Source organism: Homo sapiens, chromosome X (genome assembly GCF_000001405.40).
Source record: "Homo sapiens chromosome X, GRCh38.p14 Primary Assembly".
NCBI classification, from domain to species: domain Eukaryota; kingdom Metazoa; phylum Chordata; class Mammalia; order Primates; family Hominidae; genus Homo; species Homo sapiens.
The window spans coordinates 149575345-149590513 of record NC_000023.11 but is presented as its reverse complement, the minus strand read 5'-3'; the positions used below and the strand labels follow the sequence as shown (position 1 = coordinate 149590513).

The 15169-nt window shown below is 48.3% G+C and overlaps 1 protein-coding gene across 5 annotated transcripts; it reads left to right on the top strand.

Annotated features, from left to right (window-relative positions):
- The first annotated feature begins 3002 nt into the window (after positions 1 to 3002).
- Positions 3003 to 8861, top strand: MAGEA9B (MAGE family member A9B). 5 transcript variants are annotated; one of them, XM_024452436.2, is made up of 4 exons: positions 3003 to 3152; positions 6881 to 6967; positions 7126 to 7194; positions 7270 to 8861. In XM_024452436.2, exon 4 carries the CDS (start codon positions 7335 to 7337, stop codon positions 8280 to 8282), a length of 948 nt encoding a protein of 315 aa, XP_024308204.1. In that variant the 5' UTR covers positions 3003 to 3152; positions 6881 to 6967; positions 7126 to 7194; positions 7270 to 7334; the 3' UTR covers positions 8283 to 8861. The 5 variants fall into 5 exon arrangements, with proteins under 5 accessions (XP_024308204.1, NP_001074259.1, XP_005278250.1 ...); NM_001080790.1 differs by having other exon boundaries at positions 3055 to 3120; XM_005278192.4 differs by lacking the exon at positions 3003 to 3152 and adding an exon at positions 3609 to 3711.
- Positions 8862 to 15169: the final 6308 nt, after the last annotated feature.

Genomic DNA, 15169 nt, shown 5'->3' with positions numbered 1-15169 from the left:
TAATCTGATATCTGATAAAGAACTCATATGCTGAATAAATACCAAACATTTAACATTCAACCTTTGAAAACAAAGAATCCAACTAAAGATGTAAATGATTTGAAGACATTCACCAATGAAGACACGCAGAAATACACATACATTCACCAATGAAGATACACACATGAAAAGATGATCACCATAATTATTCATTAATAATGCAAATGTCAACAGCACTAAGATTCCTCTACCCACCTATTACAATGGATAGAATTCAAATACCTGAGAATATCAAATTCTGGAGAGGATGTGGGATTCTCATTCATAGCTGGTAGACAAGAAAAATGTTTCATTCACTCTAGAAGGCCTTTTGGCCCTTTCTTATGTAGTAAAACATAGACTTACCTTTAGATCCATCAGTCGTACTACTAGGTTTTACCTAAGTGAATTGGAAACTGGTTCTCACATGGAAAATCGTGTACACGAATGTATTAGTAGTTTATTCATAATCACCAACCAAGATGTCCTTGAAGAGGTGAATGGATAAAACCAATGGTACTTCCACAAACTGAAAGTGTATTCAAAGTTCAATCTACCCTCAAATATTCCAGGACAGGAAATTTTGGAGGCCAGTTCAGCCAAGTGGCAAGGGAAAATGAATCACCATCTTATCTCAACTCTTCCAATGCATCCAAAATGGGCAATTGTTTAACTCATTCTCCCAGGCTCGCTCTCCTAGATTCATAAACAGATGAAGGCACCCGAGCACTCATGAAAAGAATTTGTGAGGCAAGTGTTCACACACATCGCAGCAAATGTCATAAACAGATAATCACATATCCAACACAACAGTGGATTAAACGAACAAGCTGCCTGTATGCATGGAATAAAAATAGGATTAAATGTTAGAAAAAAATTCAATTCTAACTCCCTGCATACAAGATAGACTAGAAAAAAACATTCAGTCATGACAATGGGTACAGGAAAAGGCTCTGAAATGAATTCTATGTAAGTACAAATTAACAATGTTTAGCAAACTAACATTAAAAGGAACTTCCATTTCCTAAAATTGGCAGCAAGCATACATAAATGTGAAATGTCAGAAGCTCTGCCATTCACGGCAGTGACAAGTCGTTGACATATGCTGTCACCACTACCACCTACATCTGCAGTGAATATCAAAATGAAAAAGAGCCAGAGCTATGGATGTCAAGATGAAAATGAGATATGAAGACTGCAAAGAAATAGAGTATTTGTTAACTATATGATTATCTACATAGAAAATTCAAAGGAATAGACACATTGAATATTCAAATGAATAAAAGACTTCAGAAAACATCATACAGAAGGTCATTAAAGCAAAATCAAGAGCCTTGCCACACAAAAGCAACTTAGTATATAAAATAGAAAATAGAAAATGCACCATTCACAGCAGCATTAAAATCCAAAATGTAAATAAGAAGAGCCTGACAAGACCTTTATGGAAGCAACTGTGCAAAGTTGCTGATAGACTCAGGAAATAATCTCAAGTAAATGGATCTGTATACCATATTCCTTGATGGGGAACAGAATATGGCAAAGATGTAAATGCTACTTAAATTAAATACAGAGTGAGTGCCTTAACTGTCATTGCCAAAGTGACAACCAAGCTCAGGTTGCTGTGCTCTGCTCCCCAAATCAACCCCGGAAAAAATATAGGAGGGAAAAGATTAAAAAAAAAAACCCATCAAAACAGAGAAAGCCCTGGGGATGACTGAAGACTGTGCTAAACTAGTACTTGTGTTTTGGGTCCAGGGAGCAGCAGGGAAATCGAGGAGGTCTGTACCCTGCATAGATGGCAGATTACAGGATGGATAGGAGAAAGTGTTTAACATTCCACCCCACATCATCGCGCAATCTGAGGCAGCACCACAAAATCTGATGCCAGTAGCCCTGGAGTAATATCAGGACACCAGGAAATTTGAGTTGATTGAGACACTATGGCTCCAGAGTTCTGCTAACAACCACCTGAAACAAACTTAGTAGGAGAAGACCAGCCTTCCAAAAAATTATTATTTTAATGGAATATAAAGAATGAACTAGGAATAGAATAGTAAGTATGTGTGAAGGCCACATACTATGAGTAGATATTAATAAAATATGTGTGCATATATATAGTATAAAGTCTAGAAATACAAACGAATATGTAGCTAAAGATATATACATGTAAGTAAATATAAGATATAAAGATATATATGCGTGTATGTATACATATAAGCATAGATGTATATAATGTCTAAAACAGGTATGTATATAAACGTAGATATAAACAAAATGTACAATACCATATATAATGTACACATACAGTGTAAAATTTATTACCATGTGAATGAGAATTAAAATATGAAAATCGCTAATCTGGACTCTGCTGTGTTCGATACCTTCAAAACACATGGCTTCTCCAAATCTCTTGCTGCTGCTCAGCCTCTTCCGTGTAAAAATAAATCTTTTAGGACAAAAGGTTTGCAAAGTCTAGCTCTGGCTGGGGAGGAGCCCCCATGGGATGGTGTGCATCTTCTCTCACAGGTCCTACAATCACAGGTGCTGCAGCCCCCCAGGGAGCATCTAGCCTGGGACCCGCAGCCATTCTCTGCAACGCGTGCAGCTGGGCAAATGCTCAAAGGTGACATAAACAGATCATCTCCCACACATCACTTCATCAAAGAGCCAGGAGCCAGGAGGAGAACCCTCCTGAGAGGGGACTGAAGGTCCAACCTCCCCACATAGAGGGGCCACAGAATCCAGCTCAGCCCTTCCTGTCAGCCCTGGAAGACCCTGGCAATGTTGTCACCCCGACCACACCCCTCCCCTCACTGCCACCTCATGTGACTGGGAGTCAGAGACTTGGTCCGAGAGGAGCAGACCCAATGGGCAGAGAATGGGGATCGAGACCCAGGCATCAAGGTCAGGACCCCCTGAGGGATGACTGAGGGCCCCTATCCCCATCCCCACCCCTACTCCGCCAGAACCCGGTTCAGCCCCTACTGGCAACCCAGGGAAGCTCCAGGCTTGGGGGCCGGATGTGACGTCACTGACGTGCGCACTGGGGGTCAGAGAGAAGGGAGAGGCCTCCTTCTGAGGGGCGGCTTGATACCGGTGGAGGTAAGCTGGCCGAGGCTCTGTGAGGAGTCAAGGTGAGGTGCTGAGGGAAGACTGAGGATGTCCCCACCCCAGATAGAGGACCCGAAAGAACCAAGTGCCGTCTCTGCTCCCAGCCCTGGACCACCCGGGGGCCGATCTGGGGCTGACTTGTGAGGCTGGGCCGACCCCCTCCCTCCGCCGCTCAAGCTGCTGGGCACTCTGGAGTGAGAGCTTGGTGTGACCAGGGCAGGGCTGGTTAGGAGAGGGCAGGGCCCAGGCTCTGCCGGGCATCAAGGCCAGGACCCTGAGGGAGGCTGGGCCCCCCCAACCCAACCATGACCTACAGCCCCAGGTTCCCCAGCCCCATCCTCAGCTCCACTCTACACCCCACCCCACCCCACCCCACCCCACCCCAAACTCCACCCCACCCCCCCAACTCTCCCGCGGCAGAATCTGGTTCCGCCCCTGTTGTCAACCCAGGGAAGCCCCAGGTGCCCGGATGTACGGCCAGTGACTCCCACACTGGGGGTCAGAGAGTAGCGGGGGCCTCGCTGTGAGGGGCGGGTCGATATCGGTGGAGGGAAGCGGGCCCAGGCTCTGTGAGGAGGCAAGGTGAGACCCTGAGGGAGGACTCAAGACCCCCCGCCCCAGATAGAGGACCCCAAATAATACAGCGCCGCCCCTGTGCCAGCCCTGGACCACCCCGCGGGGTCGGGCGTATCAGGCTGGGCCCAGGCTCTGACTGGCATCAAGGTCAGAACCCTGAGGGAGGGCTGAACGCCTCCACACCCCTAACCCAGCCACCACCACCATGACCTACAGCCTCAGGTTCCCCACCTCCATCCTCACCCCCCCCCCACTCCACCCCACCCCCAAGTCTCCCGTGGCAGAATCCGGTTCGGCTCCTGCTGTCAACCCAGGGAAGCTCCGGGTGCCCGGATGTAAGGCCTCTGACTTGCGCACTGGGGGTCAGAGAGTAGCAAGGGCTTGGTTCTGAGTGGTGGCTGAAGATCGGCAGAGGGAAGCGGGCCCAGGCTCTGTGAGGAGGCAAGATGAGACGCTGAGGGAGGACTGAGGACGCCCCCACCCCAGATAGAGGGCCCCAAATAATCCAGCAGCACCCCTGCTGCCAGCCCTGAACCACCCCGGGGGCGGACTTCTCAGGCTGTGGGCCACCCTTCGCCACCCCACCACTTAAGCCCCAGGGGACTCTGGGTCAGAGCTTGGTGTGACCAGGGCAGGACTGGTTAAGAGAGGGCAGGGGCCAGGCTCTGCCAGGCATCAGGGCCAGGACCCTGAGGGAGGGCTGAGGCCCCATAGAGGGAGTCACTGCCCCTGCAGTGGACCCTGGGAAGTTCCGGGCATGGCGGTCAGGCAAGCGGATCGTGATATCTGCATCCTGGGCTGACCGAGGGAAGGGGCTTGGTATCGTTAGCGTGGCCGCGGGAGAACAGAGGGAGGGCCCAGGTCCTGCTGGGAGACAAGGGAGGCCTGAGGGGACCCAGTACCCCAGGACAAGGGGCCCACCCCGCCCCTATCTGAGACCGAGGCCCCTCCTCATTCAGCCTCGGGAATCCGACAGATAGAGACTCAGGTCCACAGAGGGGTGGGGCCCAGCCCTCTAGGAGACCAGGGAAGGAACAAGACGGAGGACAGAGGGGACCCCGGAGTCCAGCTCAGTGGGGATCTTGGCCTGGGCGATCCCGGGCACGGTGGCCGCATGTGGTGCATTGTGGCTGGTGGGATCGGGTGTCAATGGGAACAGGGCTGTGGTATGAGGAGTGGGGCCTCAGGTGAGCAGAAGGAGGAGTCCCAGAGGCCTGAGGAAGGATTCACCAGACCTCTCATCCCAGACCTAGGAAACCTGCCCCTGCCGTCAGTCTTGGAAGGCCCCAGGCAGGACGGTGAGGAAGGGAAGTGCCCCCTCCACCCCCAACACACACTTTCTCAAAGAGGGTCTAAGGGAGAAATTGGCCTTGGTCTGCAAGACTCACCTCTGGTTCAGCAAAATGGAAGGGGCCAGATTCTGTCAGAAGCAAATATGAATACCTAGAGGACACCCAGACCGACGAGGCCCCCTGGAACCTGCTCCTTTGGTCAGCCTTGGGTATCTCATGCATGAGTGACCATGAGGTGGCCCCTCACTTCTGCCTCCCGGGTCTCCGGGAGGTGGGGGCCTTGGTCCGAGGGGTTTCCTCAGCTCAGCAGAGGGAGCCACACCTGGTCAGCACAGGGTGGAATCCAGGGTCTTCCAGGAGTGACGGGGAGGAAGTTTGGTGAGGACTGAAGGTAAGAAGGTACCTCCACGCTCTCAAAAAAGAAAGGACCTCACAGACACTGGTGTCACCTGTTCTCAGCCCCAGGTGGCCCCAGGCAGGAATGGCATGAGGCATGCTCTCATTTCTCCCACGTGACTGGGGGTGAGAGGTCTCAGGGAGGTGAGTACCTTGATCCCAGGGGGCACTGAGAGATCCAACAGAGGGCTCCACACCTGGTCAGTAGAAGGAGGACTCCCAGGATCAGCAGGACCCAAGGTGTGCCCCCTTCATGAGGAATGGAGGTACCCCCAACGCAGAAAGAAGCCACCCCACAGAGTCTAGGTGAACTCTGTTCTTAGATCTGGGGGCGGGGGGGGGCCTGATCAAGGATGGTGCTAAGTGGCAAGCTCATTTGTACCATGGCAGGAAGTTGAGGAACCCTCAGGGGGATGAGGCGTTGGTGTAAAGGGAGATGTCTGCTCATCTCAAGGGTTTGAGGGTCGAGGAAGTAGAAGCCCCAGCAGGAGTAAAGATGAATAACCCGCAGGAGGACTTTGGAACACCCACCTCATACCTGAAGGGTTCAGCTGGTGGGGTCAGCCCCGGACACCCCACGCAGGGGTGACATATGTGGGGCCTCCTCACCTCTGTTTCTGGATCTCAGGGAGGTGAGGACTTTGTTCTCAGAGGGTGTGTGTGGACAAAACAGGGAGGCCCTGTGTTCGACAGACACAGTGGTCCCAGGATTGGAGAGCAGTCCAGGTGAGGAACCTAAGGGAGGATCGAGGGTACCTCCAGGCCAGAGAAACTCTCAGATCAAGAGAGTTTGCCCTGCCCCTACTGTCACCCCAGAGAGCCCGGGCAGGGCTGTCTGCTGAGGTCCCTCCTTTATCCTGGGATCACTGGTGTCGGGGAGGGCTGGCCTTGGTCTGAGGGGGCTGCACTCACGTCAGCAGAGGGAGGGTCCCAGGCCCTGCCAGGAGTCCAGGTGCAGACTGAGGGGACCCCACTCACCAAACACAGAGGACCTAGCCCCACCCTGCCCCTTGTGTCAGCTGAGGGAAGCCGCTGGGTGGATGGACTCCCCTCACTTCCTCTTCAGGTGTCTCCTGGAGATAGGGCCTCAGGTCAACAGAGGGAGGGTTCCAGACCCTGCAGGCATCAAGATGAGGACCAGGCAGTATCCTCACCCCAGGACACATGGACCCCATTGAATTTAGACATCTCTTACTGTACTTCCGAGGAAACCCTGGGCAGGTGTGGGCAGATGTTGGTTGGGGCATGTCCTTCTGTTCCATATCAGGGATGTGAGCTCCTGATCTGAGAGACTCTCAGGCAAGTAGAGGAGTAGAGTCCAGTCCCTGCCAGGAGAAAGGTCAGGGCCCTGAGTGAGCGCAGAGGGGACCATCCACCCCAAAAGTGTGTAGAACTCAAGAGTGTCCAGCCCGCCCTCTTGACAGCACTGAGGGACCGGGGCTCTGCCTGCAGTCTGCAGCCTAAGGGCCCCTCGATTCCTCTTCCAGGAGCTCCAGGAAGCAGGCAGGCCTTGGTCTGAGACAGTGTCCTCAGGTCGCAGAGCAGAGGAGACCCAGGCAGTGTCAGCAGTGAAGGTGAAGTGTTCACCCTGAATGTGCACCAAGGGCCCCACCTGCCCCAGCACACATGGGACCCCATAGCACCTGGCCCCATTCCCCCTACTGTCACTCATAGAGCCTTGATCTCTGCAGGCTAGCTGCACGCTGAGTAGCCCTCTCACTTCCTCCCTCAGGTTCTCGGGACAGGCTAACCAGGAGGACAGGAGCCCCAAGAGGCCCCAGAGCAGCACTGACGAAGACCTGTAAGTCAGCCTTTGTTAGAACCTCCAAGGTTCGGTTCTCAGCTGAAGTCTCTCACACACTCCCTCTCTCCCCAGGCCTGTGGGTCTCCATCGCCCAGCTCCTGCCCACGCTCCTGACTGCTGCCCTGACCAGAGTCATCATGTCTCTCGAGCAGAGGAGTCCGCACTGCAAGCCTGATGAAGACCTTGAAGCCCAAGGAGAGGACTTGGGCCTGATGGGTGCACAGGAACCCACAGGCGAGGAGGAGGAGACTACCTCCTCCTCTGACAGCAAGGAGGAGGAGGTGTCTGCTGCTGGGTCATCAAGTCCTCCCCAGAGTCCTCAGGGAGGCGCTTCCTCCTCCATTTCCGTCTACTACACTTTATGGAGCCAATTCGATGAGGGCTCCAGCAGTCAAGAAGAGGAAGAGCCAAGCTCCTCGGTCGACCCAGCTCAGCTGGAGTTCATGTTCCAAGAAGCACTGAAATTGAAGGTGGCTGAGTTGGTTCATTTCCTGCTCCACAAATATCGAGTCAAGGAGCCGGTCACAAAGGCAGAAATGCTGGAGAGCGTCATCAAAAATTACAAGCGCTACTTTCCTGTGATCTTCGGCAAAGCCTCCGAGTTCATGCAGGTGATCTTTGGCACTGATGTGAAGGAGGTGGACCCCGCCGGCCACTCCTACATCCTTGTCACTGCTCTTGGCCTCTCGTGCGATAGCATGCTGGGTGATGGTCATAGCATGCCCAAGGCCGCCCTCCTGATCATTGTCCTGGGTGTGATCCTAACCAAAGACAACTGCGCCCCTGAAGAGGTTATCTGGGAAGCGTTGAGTGTGATGGGGGTGTATGTTGGGAAGGAGCACATGTTCTACGGGGAGCCCAGGAAGCTGCTCACCCAAGATTGGGTGCAGGAAAACTACCTGGAGTACCGGCAGGTGCCCGGCAGTGATCCTGCGCACTACGAGTTCCTGTGGGGTTCCAAGGCCCACGCTGAAACCAGCTATGAGAAGGTCATAAATTATTTGGTCATGCTCAATGCAAGAGAGCCCATCTGCTACCCATCCCTTTATGAAGAGGTTTTGGGAGAGGAGCAAGAGGGAGTCTGAGCACCAGCCGCAGCCGGGGCCAAAGTTTGTGGGGTCAGGGCCCCATCCAGCAGCTGCCCTGCCCCATGTGACATGAGGCCCATTCTTGGCTCTGTGTTTGAAGAGAGCAATCAGTGTTCTCAGTGGCAGTGGGTGGAAGTGAGCACACTGTATGTCATCTCTGGGTTCCTTGTCTATTGGGTGATTTGGAGATTTATCCTTGCTCCCTTTTGGAATTGTTCAAATGTTCTTTTAATGGTCAGTTTAATGAACTTCACCATCGAAGTTAATGAATGACAGTAGTCACACATATTGCTGTTTATGTTATTTAGGAGTAAGATTCTTGCTTTTGAGTCACATGGGGAAATCCCTGTTATTTTGTGAATTGGGACAAGATAACATAGCAGAGGAATTAATAATTTTTTTGAAACTTGAACTTAGCAGCAAAATAGAGCTCATAAAGAAATAGTGAAATGAAAATGTAGTTAATTCTTGCCTTATACCTCTTTCTCTCTCCTGTAAAATTAAAATATATACATGTATACCTGGATTTGCTTGGCTTCTTTGAGCATGTAAGAGAAATAAAAATTGAAAGAATAATTTTTCCTGTTCACTGGCTCATTTTTTCTTCAGACACGCACTGAACATCTGTTATTCGGAACACCCTGGGTTAGTAGTAGAGATGCTCGGTAAGCCAGACCCACCCCTTTGCCATAGGGTGGTGAAGTCTAGGGGCTACAATCCTAAAATTAAGGTGGTGCCATGTCCTCTAAGAAGTAGAGGAAAATAAAACATGGGTGAGGGTTTGGGGCTCTAGATGACAGCAGTCGAGTGTATATGCCCTGAGCCAGGGCCCTTTGGGCTTTGGGAAACTGCAGTTCCTTCTGGGGGAGGTAATTCTATTGAAGCTGGGTGGTGCCAGAGCCAGATTCTCAGAGGATGAGAGAAAGGCCTGGAATGGACGACTGCTCAGCAGTTCCTTTTGGATAGTGGATGAACAGAGAAGAGTCTCCACCTGGGGCAGGAATAGAAGGAAATCGTCCCGCGCTCTTGTCTCGGTGCGCTTGAACACAGTGCAGGGGCTAGGTGATGGATACCTATCATCTGCAAGGGTTTCCTGCAAGATGAGGGTGAATCTCCCAGAAGGGAAGCCCAGAAGTCATTGGCCAGGTGCTTTTCTGCCTGTCTGGGAGAGCCAGAGTTGATCGTATTTAAAAGGCATTCTAATCAAGTTATCTCAGGTGGGATTTGACCAATTGTGAGCAAAGGCTAGATTTCGAGTGTTAACAAAATAAGTGAAAACAGAGTCTCGGATCCAAAAGCAGGTGGGAGAGAGGAAAGGAGTTGATCCTCGATTCAAATTCTAGGAGCTTTGAGCTGCATTCAGCTGCGCAAGACTGCAGCACACCCAAATTTTGAAGCACCTTCGCTAAGAGGAAATACTTAATTTTATTGACGAAACTTCCTGTTGGGGCTGATTATCCCATGTCCTACTGAGCTGTATATTCTCTGGTAAGTCTTGGAGAACAACAACATTTACGAAATCCCAGAGTGCTAGGGTCTAGGGTCAAATAGTATTAGATATGACAGCCATCCGCCATTCCTTAAACTTCTAACTTAATGCCAGGCCCTGAGCCAGATGCTTCACTTACATTGCACGCACTCTAACCGTCCTAGTGGAAGGGCCTCATCATACCTGCTTCACAGATGAAGAACCAGAGGCTCACAGAACTTGGGTATTTCCCAGGATCAGGTGGCTAGTAAGGAACAGAGCTGGAACCGGATCCCTGATCTGAATTCCTCTAGAGCCCGTGCTGTTCCCACTCCCCTGAGCCGGAGGCAGACCTCCTCACTGGCACTTCATTCCTCTTCTCAGCAATGCATCATGTCTCTCAGGCAACAAAAAGAAGGACCCTGAGGCCAAGGTACTAAATGCAGGCCTAAAGAAGGTGCCAATGAGCATCAAATACAATTTGGGGATGGCATGCCGGGGGTCCCCTGGGAACTGTCTGCTGGGTGCTGCCTGTTGAGCACCTACTATGCAACAGGTTGTAGGAGCGCCTACAAATGCTCATCCACATCTTTGATCTTCTCTTTCCTGGGCACAAGGGACGAATACATAATCAGCACTTCTGTCTGGCATCAGCACGTTCCCGTGTCACAGTGCCCTTCCCCGGTCACTATCATGTTTCCTCCCTTCTGACTCTGCGACCTGACCTGCTGCTTGCTCTTCACTGTTGCCTCCCCCTGGAGGCTGGGCAGACCCCCCTGCCCTTCCTGCAACATGGAGCATTCCTAGCCCTTGAAGTAGTCCCCTGGTTCTCGCACGGCTCGCCCTTAGTCCAGTCCCACAGCCGCAACCATTCTGGACGGTGACTTTAGACACTTGGTCCTCCCTCCCTGGGAGAATTCTACTCTGTGTATTCCCAGTGGGCTGTGAGAAGAGTCCAATTTGACCCATAAGCTCCTGGTTGGGTTGCAGCCCCCAGGATTGAGAGAGTATTTTCGCAGTCAGTTGCATATTTGTAGTAGGATTTTATTGAGTTTGTTATCTGAAGCTGGGGACAGAACACGCAAACAGACGGATGGTGCTCAGAAATTCCCCTCCTAAGAGGTAGAAGAGGAGCAGCCATTTCATGAAGCTGAATTCTTACAAACCCTGGGCTCCTCCCAGGAGGGGAAAAATGGTTCCATGGCGAACATGCCAGCTGGAGTTTCAAAAGAATATTTAACCAGCCTTTCACTGCTTCCTGTCTGGCATCTGTCCCCAGGAACATGCCGGCTTTCAGCGTGACTAGTGGCACCTATACAGGTGTTCAGGTAAGAACAGTCATATGGAGGGTAGCAGAGATGATGGGTAAGATTCTGCCCCTGCATCAGATGGAAGGAGGAAATCCTCAGCTTCCTGAGCTGATAGATGGTGTGGCAAAGGGAAGTGCAGAAAATGCTATGGAGTGTACAAGGTGAACTCTCCATGCTGACCTTACAGGATCCTCTTCAAATCAGATGGGTTAATGCAGTGATCCCCACCCTTCCTGGCACCAGGGACCGGTTTCTGGAAGACAATTTTTCCATGAGCACGGGGTGGGGGTGGGGCATTGTTTCAAGATGATTCAAGCACATTACATTTATTGCGCACTTTATTTCTATTATTATTGCATACTCACCGTCGTGCAGAATCAGTGGGAGCCCTGAGCTTGTTTTCCTGCAAATAGATGGTCCCATCTGGGGGTGATGGGAGACAGTAACAGATCATCAAGCGTTAGATTCTCATCAGGAACACAAAACCTAGACCCCTCACGTGTGCAGTTCACAATAGGGTTCCCGCTCCTATGAGAATCTAATGTCGCCACTGACGTGACAGGAGGTGGAGTTCAGCTTCACCTGCTTGCCCAACCACTCACTTCCTGCTGTGCAGCCCAGTTCCTATCCATGGCCGGGGGTGTTGGGGACCCCTGGGTTAATACGTTTGAAAGCATCTGTAACATAGCAGACACGTCGAGCATTTCAAGGCAAATCTGGTCTTCTCAGAAACTTCTCTAAGAAACATTGTTGTTGTCACAACAGTTAATAGTTTCTGTAAAGTGTCCTCTACTTCTAGCTGTGTTCAACGCTGTTGCTTCTCCAAAACCACGTTTTCTGGGGTTTGGCTTTGTTTTGTGAGACAGAGACTCACTCTGTTGCCCAAGCTGGAGTGCAGTGGCAAGATCACAGCTCACTGCAATCCCTGCCTCCCAGGCTCAAGCCATTTTCGTACCTCAGTCTCCCGAATAGCTGGTATTAGAGGCATGCACCGCACGCCTGGCTAATTTTTGTATTTTTAGTAGAGACAGGGTTTCACCATCTTGGCCAGGCTGGTCTTGAACTCCTGGCCTCAACGGATCTGCCTGCTTCTGCCTCAAGAAGTACTGGGATTACAGGCTTGAACCACTGCACCTGGCCCAAACCCATGTGTTTTAAATTTCTCAGATTGACTTCGGGCCTTTCGGCTTGTCTGATCTACTTAAAGATCTAACTTTTGATTCCATCAGTATTATTTATTGTTTTTCTAAAACTTCTGAAATCTCAATTTCATTAATTTTTCTCTTCTTGTCTATATTATCCCCATCGTTTTGCTCACCTTAGGTTTAATTTCCTTTTCCTTTTCTAGCTATTTGAGATCAAAATATACATATTTGAGTCTTTTATTACTTTCTAATATAAACATTTCAGTACATAAAATGTCCCCTAGGCACATTTTAGCTAAATTGCAGATATTTTAAAACATCACATTTCCATTTTTATTTATTTGAAAATATTTTCTAACCTTCCTCAAGAATTTTTTTAAACATGGATTAGTAAAAATGTGTTGTTTATTTTAAAAATACTTAAGGACTTTACAGATATTTCCTTTGTTATATTTTGAATTACATTCCATTATAGATTTTAAAAAGATACTTTGTACAATTCCAATTATTTTAAATTTTTTATGGGTTGTTTTCTGGTCTCTTTTGGTAAAAATTCCACACACACTTGAAAATACCATATAATCTACCGTCGTTCTGAGGAGTGCTCACTAAAATCTAATCAGCTCACATTTGTTCTTTGTTGTTCAGCTCCTCCTACACCCTTGCAGAATTTCTGTCTACTTCAATCATTTACTTGGAGAGGACTGTTGCCATCTCCAAATATCATTGTAGATTTGGCGATTTATCCTTGCAGTTCTATCAGATGTAGTTTCTTGCATTTTGAAGCTCTGCTTTTAGGTGAATTAATAGTTAAGATTATTACGTCTTCTCCCCAAAAGAAACCCCCTCCATGTGCAATTCATTTATAGCTGTACCCACCACTGCGCGCCGAACCCTGACAGCCACTCATCTGTACTCCATCGTTTCAGTTTTCTCTTTCAAGAATGCCAGGTAAACAGAATAATAGAATATGTAACTGGTTGAGACTGGCTCCTTTCACACAGCAAAACACCTTCGAGTTTGAAACACATTGTTGTGTGTATCAGTAGTTCATTCTTTTTCATTGCTGAGAAGTATTTCATAGTAAGTAAGGATGCCCCAAAATTTCATTTCCCATTTACCCATGGAAATACATTTGTATAATTTCCAGGTTTTGGCAAATATGACTGGAGCTGCTATAAACATTCACGTACATAGGCTTTTGTGTGAACATAAATTTTTCTTTTTCCCTTAGATGAAATCGCTGAGTCACATGGCATGTGTTCATAAGTAATTACCAAATCATTTTCTGCAGTTGTCCCGTTTCATAACTGCCACTAGCAATGTATGAAATTTCAAGTTGTTCTTCATCCTTGTTAGCACTTACAAGTATCTCGTTAAAAATTTCAGTCATTTTCAAATATGTGTTATGGCATCTGATCATGGTTTAATTTGCATTTCTCTAATAGCTGTGATGTAGAATAGTTTTTCATGGGCTTATTTGTCATGCGTATGTCCTTTTGGGTGAAATGTCTATTGATATGTTTTGCCCTTCTAAAAAATGTGGTTGTTTGTGTTAAATGAACTCATGGGAGGCCATTGTTTTGCCCTAATCTCTGGCCCCAGACCCCAGCAGAACAGACAAAATCAGAATAGTGTCCCTTGTACTAATTGCCATTCATCAAAGTGAACATTGAAACGGGCCAGTTCTCAAAAAACTAAAAACAGAATAGTCACAGCAACCAATAACGAGGAGCCCACCGTACCTGAGCAGGCACGATAAGAAAGTTTTCTCTGCTTTAATCCTACAAGGAAATCAACTTTGAAATCACCAAACCACCTTTTGTTCCCTGTTTCTACTTTTTTCGTCCTCTTCTGCCTATAAGCCAACGTCTTTTGCTCAGCACATAGGGACACTCATTCAAGTTGACGGAGAGAAAAAATGCCCATTCAAGAATCATAAAGAAAAGCCAGTTAGATCTTTGAACAAAATTTGGTGAAACTTTGTGTTTTGACATGTGTTCTAAGTTTTGAGATTTTGGGAATCTTTATACAATTTTCATAAAAGGCCTTTGGTGTATATATGATTTGCAAATACTTGTGAATACTTCGTTTGGCTTTTTAGTGTCTCTTCAGTGTCTTTCTCAGAGCAAAAGTTTTAACTCTGAGGAAGTCTAATTTATTGTTTCTTTTCTTTATGAATCACACTGCTGGTGTCATGTTTAAGACCTCTTTGCCTCACATCAGGCTACTAATATTTCACCCTGTGTTTTCTTTAAGTTTTTTCTTGCTGTTGTTGTTTGTTTGTTTGTTTGTTTGTTTGTTTTTTGAGACGGAGTCTCACTCTATTGCCCAGGCTGGAGTGCAATGGCAGGATCTCGGCTCACTGCAACCTCCGCCTCCCGGGTTCAAGCGATTCTCCTGCTTCAGCCTCCCGAGTAGCTGGGATTGCAGGTGCGCACCACCACGCCCAGCTAATTTTTATATTTTTACTAGAGATGGGGTTTCACCATGTTGGCCAGGCTGGTCTTGAACTCCTGACCTCGTGATCTGCCCACCTCGGCCTCCCAAAGTGCTGGGATTACAGGCGTGAGCCACTGCACCCGGCCTTCTTTAAAAGTTTTATAGTATTTCATGTAACATTTGGATCTGTAATCCACTTTGAGTTAATTTTTGTATAACATGTGAGGTTTTGGTCAAGTCTTTTTTATAACACATGGATGTTCAGTTGTTCCAATACCACTAATTGAAAAGACTAATATTTTTCCAATAAATTGTCTTTACCCCTTTCTAAAACCTCCATTGCTATATTCGCGTGGATCTATTTATGGATTCTCTGTTTTAATCCATTAATCTATACGTGTATCCCTTAGAAAAGTCCATAATGACTTGATTGTTTTAGGCTTATGCTAAATCTTAAAATTGAGTGGTACGATTTGTGCAATTACTCTGTGTTTTGAAAATTGTTTTAATTATTTCAAA